Genomic DNA, 15,327 nt, shown 5'->3' with positions numbered 1-15,327 from the left:
TTCTGATTGTTTCCAAAGCTTTTGGGGTTTTTAACAAACTCAACTGAAATAGTTCTACAGTCTCATGAAGTAGAGGCAGGCATTATAATCTCTATATTAAAGCTGGGAACCTTGAGGCACAAAGTCATTTAAGTGATATGTCCAAGGTCACTGAGCAAGTCACTGGTGAAGCCAAAAATAGAATCCCAATTCTTCAGTTAGTCCTTTGTTCAGGAGACCATATTGGTTCTTTTATTACTCTGAAGAGAAAATTTAGCTTTATATCAGAGGATTTTTTTTTTCTTATACACCAACCTAAAAAATCAACATTTAAAAAGACTATTGAAAGGATATTAAATCAAATCATATTTCATGCTTGAGATTTTCAAGTTACTCTTAGAAAAGTGTTTTCTTGTTGTTTAAGAGAAAAATATCCTTGGTAGTTTTTCACTGTTATTATCTCAATTCATAAAACTTTTCACCCTCCCCTAAATATTTAATGGCTCTATTTAACAATGAATATGTTCTGGTTTCTGCACAAGGAAATGCAAGCCATAGTAATTGGCTTTGCCCTCAGACAGCTGAGTCAGCATGAAATCTAGCAGCCTATAGAAACCTTTTTATTTGCTATCAGTTTTTCAGAGTCTCAAGCCATTGAAATATATTGAAAAAATATGGGAGGCAACTAAACCATGCAAATTAACCTTACATCTGCTTTATAGGACTCTTGAACCTCTAGATTTGTAATTCCTTATCTGTGGCTGCTCAAACAATTTTCTGGTTCATAATGCTGTCAGTGCAATGGTAGGAAAGGAAAGTGGATTATAGTTTCCAGTACATATTTGTCTAAAAGTACTTGTATTTTTCCAGTCATGAAAATAATCTTTTTCCCCTCTTGTGAGAATGTTGGACAACTAGAAATTCTACTTTTTGAGCTTCCTATTTACACATGTAGATTTTATGAAAAATAACTTTATAAAGTACAAATTTGTTAAATATTTTTAAAGAAATATATGTTCACGTACACTAAATAGGACTATAGATGTGTTTATCTTTCTTTATATGTATACACAAACACACAGATAAGAGCTCATATGTATTTATGTTTATATATACTTTATAGTATTCTATAAGTGTGTGTTATTAAAATATAATGAAAGATAAAATTTATGGAGCAATTACCTTAGGCTAGGCACTCTATGAAAACCTTTACATATAATATTTATTCTCATAACCTTATGAAGTGACTATTATTATAATTTTCTCCATTTACTTAATGAGGAAACTGAGACAGTAGGAGCATAAGCCAATTGCCCAAAGTTGCATAGCTTCTATATGGCAGAGCAGGAATATAAGTAAAGGCAGTCTAGCTTCCCTACACTGTGTAGGAATAGGAATTATTTTTGGACATGTGAGTATAATAAAATATAAAATCTAGAATTTTAATAAAAACCTAATCCATAAACTGAGATCCAGAGAAAAAAAAATACTTTTCACTAGTTCTACAGCTAGCCAGTTCCCAATCCTGGAGTATGACTCAGGCAGTATTCCATTATAGCTTTCTTGGAGTTATTATCAATGGATGATGTCAAAAGTTGCAAACCAGTCAAAAATGATCTTTTGCGGAAATTATGCAACAGATACCTGTATTAGTCCTTTCTCACGCTGCTACAAAGAACTACCTGAGACTGGGTAATTTATGAAGAAAAGAGGTTTAATTGACTCACACTTCTGAAAGCCATATGGGAAGCATGGCTGGGAGGCCTCCAGAAACATACCATCATCAGAAGGTGAAAGGGAAGTAAGCACTTCTTCAGGTGGCAGAGAGCGAGAGAGAGAGAGAGAGAGAGAGAGAGAGAGAGCACAAAGTGGGAGGTGCTACACACTTTTAAACCACCAGATCTCATGAGAACTCAGTATCATGAGAATAGGAAGGGGGAAGTCTGCCCCCATGATCCAATCACCTCCCACCAGGTCCATCCCCCAACATGGGGAATTACAATCTGATGTAAGATTTGGGTGGAGACACAGAGCCAAACCAATATCCAATTTTTCTAATGAAATATTTTGCTAACATGACATTTTTCACCTGAGATCTTTAAAAGCTTAGAGAAAGTATTTTTCACTTGTTTAAGTTTCTATTGATATATAGCTTAAAATTTTTTCCCCATGTATAGGACATTCATACATCCTCCTGACTGGTATTCAACAACATTTTTCCATTCCCATTTACTAGTCAAACTCCTTATCTCAAATTTTTAATCAAATGTCTCTTGTTAGATAATTAGATCTGTGAAAAGCTACATGCAATGGAATGTCTTAGTATTTATCTCAGAAGAACTTTTTGCTGGATTTGACACTCTGGATTACTCTTCCCTTCTTCACTTTTCTTTGAACTTGACTCTATCTTATTCTGATTCAACTTGTAACTTCTTAACTCTGCCTCCTCTCATTTCTCTATGAGAAGTTCTTTAACAAATGTTGATTTTTCTCAATGTTCATTCAGACTGTAGACTTCTACTTTTCTTACTCTATAAACCCCCCATGGTTAAGGATGATCACATCTCCTATAATACACATATTTGGATAACTGTATGCAACTGTGTGTGTGTGTGCGTGCGTGTGTGCATGCACCTGTGCATGTGCATGTGTACACAGGTGTATAAAAGAGAGAAAGCCGTAGTTTCAGAATCCATTTGTGTATTATACCTTCTCAACTCAACTACCCATGACGGCAGATACAAAACACTTAATTACAGTGGTCAGAGATAACCCTATAGAGACAAAACACATAGCCCAAGAGCTGAAGCCTGAGAAGGATCCAGTTATGTGAATATATTTGGAATCATTTTGTTTAAGTTTTATGTTTTCATAGCTATACTCAGATGCCACCTTTTTAATGAAATTTTCTCCTAAATAACAGGTCACAAAAAGAACAGATTCAAGAACTTCTTTGGTCTATTTTAGTTGCTGGAATCATCTGACTTTCCCATTTAAGACTTTGACTTGCTTGCTACACATTAAACTATTCAATGTCTTCTTAATTCTCCTGGGCAGGATATACATCTTTTCCTTGCTGGACTGTAAGAACTATTTTTTGTTGTTGTTGTTTGGGAATTTTAACACATCATGCTGATAAGGTGTTCATTTCTGTGCAGCTCCTCTAGGCATTTTGAACATCTTGGTTTGGATTCATGTCTTAGCTGACCTTTAGCTGATGACTTTTATAGTGTATTATTCTAATGCCCATATCTCTTTTCTCCCTTCACTCCCCAAATCTGGATGTGAAATGACCAAACTCTCTTTCAGTTTTGTCTGTCCTTCTATGATGATGGATCCCTGCAGAATGCTTCTCTTATTCACTTAAAGGAGCTGATTCTAGCTCCCTTTATGTCTTGCCGCTGTCTATCTCCCTCTGTTCTCCAAATTCTCCTTTTTATTTTTCTGTTTAGCACAGGAGCATATCATTAAGTCCTCTTTCTAGGCAGATGCATAAACAAAGAATAAGAATTATTTTTTTCTCATGAACAGACACTTCTCAAAAGAAGACATTTATGCAGCCAAAAAACACATGAAAAAATGCTCACCATCACTGGCCGTCAGAGAAATGCAAATCAAAATCACAATGAGATACCATCTCACACCAGTTAGAATGGCAATCATTAAAAAGTCAGGAAACAGCAGGTGCTGGAGAGGATGTGGAAAAATAGGAACACTTTTACACTGTTGGTGGGACTGTAAACTAGTTCAACCATTGTGGAAGTCAGTGTGGCGATTCCTCAGGGATCTAGAACTAGAAATACCATTTGACCCAGCCATCCCATTACTGGGCATATACCCAAAGGACTATAAATCATGCTGCTATAAAGACACATGCACACGTATGTTTATTGCGGCACTATTCACAATAGCAAAGACTTGGAAACAACCCAAACGTCCAACAATGATAGACTGGATTAAGAAAATGTGGCACATATACACCATGGAATACTATGCAGTCCTAAAAAATGATGAGTTCATGTCCTTTGTAGGGACATGGATGAAATTGGAAATCATCATTCTCAGTAAACTATCGCAAGAACAAAAACCCAAACACCGCATATTCTCACTCATAGGTGGGAATTGAACAATGAGAACACATGGACACAGGAAGGGAAACATCACACTCTGGGGACTGTTGTGGGGTGGGGGGAGGGGGGAGGGATAGCTTTAGGAGATATACCTAATGCTAAATGACGAGTTAGTGGGTGCAGCACACCAACATGGCACATGTATACATATGTAACTAACCTGCACATTGTGCACATGTACCCTAAAACTTAAAGTATAATAATAATAAAATAAAAAAATAAATAAAATAAAAATAAATTATTGGAAATAAAAAAAAAGAATTATTTTTTTCTTCTACCAGTCTTTACAGAGGAATCTCACAGAGCCCCTTTCCATGTCTTCTAAGTGATGGCTCACTTTCCATGAACAGGGAACTCTCTGAAATGTCAGCTAGCCTTGTTTTCTGATTTTCATCCCACAGTAATCAATAAGGATAAGTAGAGATGACACAGTCCATTCCCTGACTTATACCTCTCAATTATTTTGATGGTTTGCATCTCTCTCATGAAGTACTTAAGGCTCTATAGCATCAGCTTAAGCCATGATTTTAGAACAGTGGAAGAAATCATCAACATCTTGTTACATTTTGATCGGTTGAAGGATAACTCATGGGAAAGGAACTAGTAGTTTCAAAGACCTTGAAGTAGGAAATTCACTTGAAATGTTAATAAAGACTCTGAGTTCATTTTTGATGTCTGAGTGCTGACAGTGTTCAACCCCTACCACTCTCCTTTCTCCTCTACTTCACAGATGGTCAAGCTGATCAGAAAGACTAGGTGCTCTCTTCTTTGGCAAGGGCAGGAATTTCAAACCATGCAAGCCCTATCTCATTCATGAGAACCCTCACCCTAGACCCATCTACTAATCATAATAAAAGTCAAGCCAATCTCCTTTCTCTGCTTTCTTAAGACACTGTTTTTGGACCTGTGTGGGAGGTTGCCCTGCCTGTTGTAGAAAGCTTCTTTATGTTAGTTATAAAGCGTTTCATAACCTGTTGATGTAGATGTGGCATAATCAGTTACAAACCTTAACCAAAAGTTAGGTGTGTGGAGATCCATCCAACTTCTGTGGGGTGTGAGAAGGATGTCCAAACAATGACCAGTATCACCGCAATCTGTAAGGGGGTTGTCTTTCTTCCAGTGCTTGCTAATTGGTTTTGTTGCCTGCTGGCAAGCATGCACACGGAGCTGTTGGCTGCTGGCTAGTGTTAGCTTTGAGCCCTGCTGTTCTGTGCATAAGTTATTCTTATAGATTTTTGTTTGTTTGTTTGTTTGTATTTTTGGTTATTTCCAAGTTAACATTTTTTTTCAACATTTTTAATTTTTGTAAAAAATTTACTTCAATCTCTGGGATACAAGCACAGAACATGCAGGTTTACTACATAGGTATACATGTGCCATGGTGGTTTGCTATACCTATCAACCCGTCATCTAGGTTTTAAGACCCACATGCATTAGCTATTTGTCCTAATGCTCTCCCTTCCCTCAATCCCCACCCCCCATCTGACCCTGGTGTATGTTGGTCCCCTCCCCGTGTCCATGTGTTCTCATTGTTCAACCTCTGCTTATGAGTAAGAACATGTGGTGTTTGATTTTCTGTTCCTGTATTCATTTGCTAAATATGATGGTTTCCAGCTTCATCCATGTCCCTACAAAGGACATGATCTCATTTCTTTTTATGGTTGCACAGTATTCTATGGTGTATATGTACCATATTTTGTTTATCCAGTCTATCATTGATGGGCATTTGGGTTGAATTCCATGTTTTTGCTGTTGTAAATAGTGCCGCAATAAAACATGTACATATGTCTTATAGTAGAATGATTTATAATCCTTTGGGCATATACCCAGTAATGGGATTGCTGAGTCAAATGATATTACTGGTTCTAGATCCTTAAGGAATTGCCACACTGTCTTCCACAATGGTTGAACTAATTTACATTTCCACCAACAGTGTAAAGATTTAACTGACCCAGGTTGAAAGTTTTGATAATACACATTTAAAGAGAGTAGTATGGAATTAGAACTCTCCTAAAATGACTGTAGTCCCTGTGTCTTGGCTGGGAAATATCTGTGTGTCTCAAGTCCAGCATAAACCGTGACTAACAGTAGGCACAAGGGAATGACTCTTTCCCTGTAATAATTGATTGTGTCTCAACCTGGCACTGACTCCCATTCTATCGAATGCTCAGGAGAAAGAATGAAGGCCCATTGGTAGTAGTGTGTAACCTGTGGAGGGCCACACTCCTAAGTAGACGATGTGCCTTAGGCCCTTTTGCCTCTGTTGCAAAAAATAGACATAAAAGTAAAAAATCTTTATACTCAGGGATATAGGAAAAAACACCGATGACACACTTGTGACAAAGCAAAGGGGTCAATTCAAGCCTGACTTCAGCTATGAGCCCTTAAAACCCACAAAGCTACCATTGCCTTGAGGGAGGTCCTGAATACTTACATACTGATCTGAAACTCTCTGGAGGAAGACATTTATAAATATCAGGAGGATATAGAAAAATTCCTCAAATTATATCTGGTAATTACCTAAAAACAAAAAACTGAAACAAAGGTCTACAACTTGGTCCAATTCAAAATCTGAAACTGACTAAAAGAATGTATACGACAAATAGATAGAAGGGTGCTGATTAAATTTTATGCCTCTATAATGTAGGTTTTCAATTAACTTTAAAATCTGATTAAATTCACCAATTGGCAAATATTCATGACCTTTATAAATACGAAAGCTCAAATTTCAGTTGTTACCTGGAGATCTCACTATTTTAAAATAAAGTATCCCTTTACTCTTAGAAGAGCTAGCAAATATAAAACAGGAAAAATAGGTATGCTTCACCTTAACCATTAGAAGTATCACTTTTCTAAACTCCCTATAATCCTAGTAAGCATAAACCTAAAATATCCCTGGGTGAGCCTAAATACTGTCAATTAACAAGTAATGAATTAAATAGTGTTTTGCATTTACAATCAGATTTATAAAATGAGACCTCTTCGACCTTATTCCTCAGTTTCTCAGATTTTGGGCTTGAGAAACAGATGACTGAGCAATGAGTTTAACAATGCCTTTTTTAAAAATTCTGTCTCTGGCACTCAACATCACTCACAAGCTCAGGACGATGAAAGGGGAAGCACAGAAACATGCCATTGATGGAAGAGCTGAGGTCAGTAAGAGTAAAGGGATTTTGTTTTTAGTCTCTTGATTCATCTTTTAGCATTATCATTTCAACCATGGAGAACCTTACCCTTGCTGTAAGGGTACTATTACCTTGCTGTAATAGTTCCAGGAAATTTTGTGTGGATGAGGCATGGATCGGTGAGGAGAAAATTTTAGGTAGCAAGTGAGATCTGCTGTTGGCAGGAGTAAGGGAGAAGAATGAGAATTCCCAAGAATATTAGGAAAGTGAAGGATTCTCTGTTTGAATTTATTTGTACAAAGAATAATTCTTGAATGAGGGGCCTTAGGCTGTTATAACTTTGTTCTCTGCCTAAAGGCAGGTCATAATATTTGGGGAAATTTATGTTTTTGTTCAGCTGTCCTGTCTGTGCTCAAACTTTCTTTATTCTAAATCATTTGAGACTCAGTTTGATGAATTTAAAGTGAAAAACGTTTACTTAAAAAACGCAGTGCTAAAAGATACGTACAAAAGAAATAATTATCTATAGAGTAAGATTAAGGTATCTGCTTTAATGCATTCTTTAATTTATTCATAATTTTATAGCATTGGGATGCATTTTTATGAAAACAGCTTTATGTTTCTTGTCCATTTCAAAGTTCTAAAGATTAAAATATTAAATGATCTTTTTAGAGTAACTGTTTTTTGATCAATAAGTATTAATAGTAGAACAAATAAAGATCATTTTTTAAAAATATGTGTTTAATTTTACAGATAATGTTTCTCAAATAGATAATCTTATTAATTTTGTTTTTGTGTTCTTAAAATAACATATGCACATGATTTTGTTGTTAGTTACTAAAAAAATTTAATTAATGTCTGTTATGTTTCCATGTCAGTAAAAAAAAAAAAAAAATAGAATATGCGAGGACACAGGGAGAAGAATATTTAGTAAAATAGCATGATGGACTATGATCTATATTCTCAAAGTACTTTTAAATTTTTCCCCTATTTCCCCAGGGATGCTAGATATTCATAAATAGTGTGCATACTTTTGCATAGCCATTATATTTTAATAAAATATTATTGTCTGTTTTTGTCATATGCCTGTGGACATTGTAAAAAACAAATATTATTTATTTCTTCTTTTTGTATCTCTAATGCTAACCTTGGGCCTGCTAAATGATGGGATCAGCAAATATTTGATAGATAAGTGTTTAGTTAATATGAACCAAGAGCCTATAAAGTGAAAAGATATAAAAGTATGTAAGAAAGAAGAAATTAAAAAAATGGTTCACATAGAGTTTTGTTTTAAAAGCATTATTACATTTATCTCCTTTGATAAGGTATAAATATGAAGTCTAGGTCATTTCGAGTTGGAGAAGCCCCAGCTACTTCATAAGTGTGATGCTAGTTTTGAATGTGCATTGAGGGACAGCTGGTGTTGAGAAAAAAGGAAATTACCTTAATACCAATAATTTCAGCACAGATTGTCATGTGGTTGGGAAAATATTTGATATGAAGACATTGAATCCACCTTCTAAAGAATAACAAGATATATTCATGAATGGAAGGATTTGGTAGGGTACATGAGGACAGATATAAAACTGCACAACCAATGTTACACAAAGGTACGTGAATCAAATAAACAATAAAAGATAAAAAACTTTACTTTTTCTTACAAACTAATTAATTAGACTAATAATCAAGGCTCTCTGTCAATTGATTCTATGTAGCTTATATGATATTATTTTACAACTTAAACACTTTATTTTACCTAAGTCAATCTCCAAATTACATTGGAAAAGATTGAAGACTTATTGCACACGCATCTGTGTATTCATTCACATATTAGCGGTATACAGTGACTCTTTACTCTGTTAGATGTTATTTTAGGCTCTGAGGTTATACTGGTGTATAACACAGATACAGTTCTTATGCCCATGGGATTCACAGTTCAGTAGAAGAACCAAAATGTTTTTAAAAATTACACGGATATGTTCCTAACTGTGATTTTGTTTTTCGGAATGCAGTGAGAATTTAAATAAATAGAAGGCACTGCATTTGGGGTTAATTTATGTTTCAGCAAAGGCTTTCCAGAAGAAGAGACATTAAGCAAAAACCTGAAGTATGAACATGGTTTAGACAGGAGAAGTTGAAGAGAATGTGTGTGACAGTCTGGAGATGAGGATATTCTGAGCGTGTTCAACAGAATGAATGCCAAAGTAGCTCAGTTACAATGAAGGTAGTTGAGATGGCTTGAAAGGACCTCAGAGAGCTGGGTAGCAAATAGATCATACAGGGTGATGAAGGGCATGCAAAGAATTTCTTTATTCTAAGTCTTTAATAATACTCTGGCCACCGCCTGAAATGCCTTTCCTTTGTTCCTCTGTCTGTGCTAATTCTCCATATCCTTTAATGCGTATTACTTGGAACCTAATCATAGTGGCTAATATTTATTACATGCTTATCATATGCCAGCCTCATCCTAGGTGTGAATTGTTTCATATATAGCATCTAATTTATTTTCCACCTGTATTATACACAGGAGGTTTATTCTTCTTCACAAGAAAGTGATGTGTAGAGATATTCACTGAATTATTGAAGATTATATGTGGCAGAGTCAGCTTGGGGATCCAGGTTGTCTAATCCAAAGATTGTTTAACCAGTAAGCCATACTGACTCTTTTAAAAGAAATTTCATTCCACTAATCTATGCTCTCTTTCTAAAAATCTAACCAAAACTTGTTATTTTTAGTTTTTCAAACATTTATTGATATGTGTGGCCACAGTATGTACCCAGGACCTGGTGTTCAGTTCTGCCATGGAGGCATTATAAAAACAGTACTCACACCAGACAACTTTTGCTAATATGGAGAGCTAGGTTCACAGAAGGCATTCAATTAATATTTTGAGAGTCAGTGTCTCAGTGATCAAATTTGCGACTAATCTGTTGTTCAGCTTTGTTATGACCATCCAAGGGCATAGTGTGCCTGAGTCCCTTCAGACCAAGCTGGGCCACAAAAAGCAACAAGTGTTTGTTCTACATGTGTCAAAATTCTCAGTGTTGCTCCAGGGACCCTACTACACCTCCCAATGAAGGGAAGAGTGACTCAAGAGTGCGTGGCTCTTCATTTAATACAAATATCCACTGGTGCTCAATTTTCCACCAAGCAAATGTAATAAGCATAGGAATAGGTAGAACTCAGAATTCTAATCACCTTTTTCTCTTTCGAGCATGCCCAAATACTCAGTAATAATACCAATTAATTATATATCAATTTATGAATTGGGATAATGGTATTTTGGTTCAAATTTGCTAAAAAATTACAAGTAATTTTGGTGAAATTCCCCATGCTCTAGTTTGGTTATCATTATTATCAAGGGAGAATCTATTATATGTTAACAAATTCTTAAATAAAGGAGCTCTTTCAAATAAAAAATCATATTTATTAGAGTAATAGAAACGATTTAACCATTAATTAATAATATCTGGAGACTCCCGAATTGATATTTTCCTTCAGTTCTTGGAATGGATTATAAGCGAGGAAGCTTAATTAACAGAAACATATGGTATATATTTTCCTGTCTATTATCATTGGTATTGAGAGAACATAAGGAAGAAAATCCATAGTTTATTCAAAAGCACAGTTCTCTGAACTAAGATGGTGGTAATTTATATCAGGTGAGGAATATTTAAGAGAAGATAATTTGACATTCAATGTCCCCAAACAGGTCTTCCATTAAATATAGTAGAGATATTGTCCAGAGAATTGATTCTGTGCACCACCAATACATAGTTATTTAAAAATTGCTTTATTTTTAGTGTATTTGTGGACATATTCTGGTCTTCTGGATTTCTTTCATCTTTTATACTGAAGTGTTTACTTCCTTACTTTTCCACTTACAACTCTTATAATGTAGTTTTTTTAATATTTAAATATTAGAGTAACAGTATCATAGCCTTCTTTCATGAAGAAAAATAAAAACATAAACAATTTAAACATTGTCTAATTTGTGAGAGCATTATATTAGTAATACACATTGAAATCTGAGTTCTCTGCAGGTATTAGGTATTAGGGTTAGAGTGACACAAGTTTGCAGTTCTCAACCACTAAATTGCCTTGCCTGCAGCTATAATGTGTAGCAGTTTGGGGGATGAAACACATACACATATCTGACTGTCTATTATTGTCTCTGTATTTGTGCAATGAGATAGAATTCTTAGGGCTTTTTTGGCTATTTGAATGATGAATATAGTTTCCCTGATATGGTCATTGCATCATTCACTATTTCTCAGAAAGTTGCATTTATGTATAACTTCTCTAAATCTAGCTTGGCTTGGTTAACTTTTACTCTTGTCCTCTTTGTGTTGTACTCTTTCCCCTCTATCTAGAGAAACAAGGTCAAGGCATGTTCTTCGATGCTTGTTCATTAACAGCTCTGCGGGTGATGCTCCTAGAGAGGTCTGATGTGTTGTGTGATGTTCTCACACAAACTATGTTAATTTTTGATCAGTGATTGTGAGTTTTAATTGTGTTGAGGTAACTAGAGATTTGTTAAGTGGACGTTACTTCAAAAAGGTAAGTTGAAGCAGTAAATGTTAAAACCAAGGAATCCCCCAAATTCTTGCCCTTTATTTTTTGCATGTTAATTCCAGAAAAGAAAAAAAAAAAAGCTTGTGGGTTAACGTGGTATTTATGCAAGGCTGCCAATGTAAATATAATTCTGTGATTTAATTTTTTACTGGCATGACATTATATATATGTATAAAATGTGCATACATAATATATACATATGTATATATGTTATATATTAGATGTGTATGCATATATAATATATATTAGATGTATAAAATATATTACATATATAATAAAATATTAGATATGTATTATATAGTAGTATATATAAAATATATACATATCTAATAATACATTATAGATCATGTATTAATATATACATATATCTAGTATATACAATATATACATATCTATTATATTTATACACACATACATATACATATGTGTATGTGTATGTCTGTGCCTGTGTGTCTTTTTGTCTTGCAAGCTCAATCTTTAAAAAGAAGAGTTCGAGGAGGGATGGAGAAGGAAGAGAGTGATTATATATACATATACTGTCCATGTTTGCTTAGCTAGTATGAAGCAGAATCTGGATTCAAATTCAAGAAGTCTGATTCCCAAACAGCCACCCAATTAGGACCGCTTTGAAAACTCCGAGTCTTCTATTTGATATAAGTATAGCTCATTGCCATGGAAATAAACATATGTTTCTTTTTTAAATTAAAAAAAATATTTTTATTTTGTTTTCAACATTTAGCATTTTTTTGCATCAAAGTTCTAAGTAGCTGCATGTCTGTTTATAATGTGTATATTTGTTGTTTGTTTTTCTGTTTTGTTTCTGTATAGTTTCTTTGTTTGTATCACTGGTAATTTAATCCCTCATGCTATGCTGTGGGATTATGTACAACAACACAACTTCTTAGCCTCTTCAAACCCTTTCACTGCAAGCTGCTTTTTTGTGCTTTTTGAAAGAAAAGGAAGAAAAACACATTGCATTTTCTTAAGATAAAATGATACCTGCTTCTTCATTTCCTCCTACTCCTTCCTATTATCTTTTGTAGAAAGAATTGCTGAATCTATTGATATGTAATTTTCATTTAATTCTCCAACATCTTATTGCTATTTAAAATGGTTTAAGAAAACTGGCTTAATATAGCCAAGAAAAATTCTATAGTAATACTTGTCTGTAATTTCTCTATATTTAAATAAAATATCATTTCTATCTTGGAGGTTTGATTTGGCCATTTAAAAATGCTAATGTTTTATTGTTTTTTCAAAAAAATACTACATGCATGCTCATAGTATAAACATCAATGTTTCATTAGGATATATAGTGAAAAGTCAGTAACTTTACAACCTCTGTTTCAAACCCAACCAGTAATTTAAGTTGTTTTCATAACAAAGTGTTATTATTTATCTTCTAATACCTATAAAATATTTATTTACTCCCCAAATTAAATAGAGTGTTGGTTCTTCAATGAAGGTATGAAGTTACTTTCAATTAAATATGCAGTTTGATTAGAAGAAAAAAAAATCCATCAGATCTCAGCCAAGCTCTTTTGGATGATTATTTTTCTTCAAAATCAAATACACTAAAATTTCCAAACAGTAACAGTTACAATGTTTCAGTTTCTTTTAAGGTAGCCTGAACTGAGACACATTAAGGTTTATATCTAATTTCATAGTTCTGTTCAGTAGGAAATAAGTAAATTAGTTTAAAGGACTGATCCATATCAGGAGATCAGGACTGGACAAAGTGTTAATTTATCTACAGATTTTACCAGGCAGATTGCCAATATCCAAGTTCATTAGACAGGTCCTAGGACTAATAAGAACTCTTGGGGGCTACAATGTGAAATACCTGAGTATATGAGTCAGGTAAAGACTTTAGAAAGTTTGGCTTCTACTCTCATATTCCCAGGAGTTGAATAGATTGGAGTGGAAAAAATGTGGTCAAAAACTAGTGATTTTGGATTAGAAGTAGGGCATAAAGCTCCTATTATTGCACTTGGGCAATATTAACTGGATTGCAAGAAACTGTAATATGCAGAAACAGCATATTTCCCTTAGGGAGTACATTTTGTTAAACTTAGTATTCTTGCTACCTGTTTTGTTACCTAAGCTTAATGGACCTGGCCCTAGACTTTAGCTTGGTGCATGGTGAAAATTGACCTTAAGCAACTGCAGCATTGTCCAAATATTTGGTTTCACATAGACCAGTTTTGGTTCTTGTTTCTGTGTGACTTTGAGGGGCTCTTTAAGAAATCCAAGGACAAGGTGCCACATTTATTAAGGCCCCGCCATTCACAATGCATGATGCTAGAGCCTGACAGTGCACCATGCTAGAGACTGAAGAGACATAAAAAAAAGAAAAGGCAGAGTTCTTGCTATCAGGTTCTTAAAATTTTCTTTGTTTTGGTTAAATTCTTGATTGGATTTTTTCACTAAATGTTTGGCCCTATTAAAAATAAGTAAAGAAAAAATGAAGGAAGAATGGAAGAGAGGGAGAATAGGAAATGAATGAAACAAAGCCAAGTAAGAGATACGTCTACTACAGACCTGCAAGTTGGCAGTGCTTGCAGAAGACAGTTGACATATTCTAGCCTGGTTCACATTTTCTGGTTAACTTTTGAGCATAGAATAAAGAATATAATAAAATGCTTTTTTTTTTTTTTGCACAATGAACTTTAAACAAATCAGGAGAGTATATTGGTAATTTAGAGAAGTAGCAATTCTCATTAAATCTGTTTTTCATTGAATTATCATGCCCTTAAAATTATATGATAGATTATTATCTTCGGTAGTATTAGTTTAAATAAGAATTATATACAACCAAAATATCAGTAAGGCTAATTCTCTGAGACCATAAGAGAACCAAGTCAATATCCCCATAGCTACATCATATTGATCATTCATTTGATTTAAGAAGAAAGAAGACAAATATGTTAGTGAAAGGGAGACAAATGAGTATGTGCCTGGCCTGGCCAATTCCTGACTCATTTACAGAGGAAGCTAATATAACTCTCTTACTCATTTTATGGGAAATATGATAGATCTGATTATATAATTTATGCCTCCTTTCAGACTTCCTACACCCCACTAATTGTCTCTTCCTTTCTTTTCTCCACCTTTTGCTCAGGTATTTGGCAGTTATTGCACTTTTTTGGATCTTTTTTTTAAGGATGTTACTATCAATCTTTTGCCTACATCTAAATGACTTACCTATGAAGAAGATCCCATTTTTAGCCTTAATATTTGCAAATTACTTGAGAGGTAATATGAGGGAAAAAAATTAAGTATTCACCCACATATGTCACCATAGCTTTAACATTTTACTTAAAATTGCATAATCAAAGCCTATCACTATATTTTGCTGCATAGTCTTAAAACTAGCAAATTGATTGCTTTAAATGGATTTTTCTTTATCTTGGAGCTTTGGTGCAATAAATTATTTTAAGTAATGTTAATTTTGACTGGAATTGTAAATCATAGTTTTCTAAGTTAAATACATTTTAAAACTTTAGTTTTAAATTTC

General features: G+C 34.2%; 1 long non-coding RNA gene across 1 annotated transcript in view; it reads left to right on the top strand.

Moving 5' to 3' along the window:
• Positions 1–15,327, top strand: part of LINC00971 (long intergenic non-protein coding RNA 971) — a 231,171-nt gene that overhangs the window by 188,111 nt on the left and 27,733 nt on the right. Inside the window, exons 17-19 of the long non-coding RNA NR_033860.1 lie at positions 8,560–8,844; positions 9,762–9,881; positions 11,609–15,065. This is a non-coding gene — a long non-coding RNA (long intergenic non-protein coding RNA 971). The remainder of the gene's footprint in view (positions 1–8,559; positions 8,845–9,761; positions 9,882–11,608; positions 15,066–15,327) is intronic.

The sequence above is a fragment of the Homo sapiens genome, chromosome 3 (genome assembly GCF_000001405.40).
Source record: "Homo sapiens chromosome 3, GRCh38.p14 Primary Assembly".
NCBI lineage: Eukaryota > Metazoa > Chordata > Mammalia > Primates > Hominidae > Homo > Homo sapiens.
This window is presented reverse-complemented; position numbering and strand designations above follow the sequence as displayed.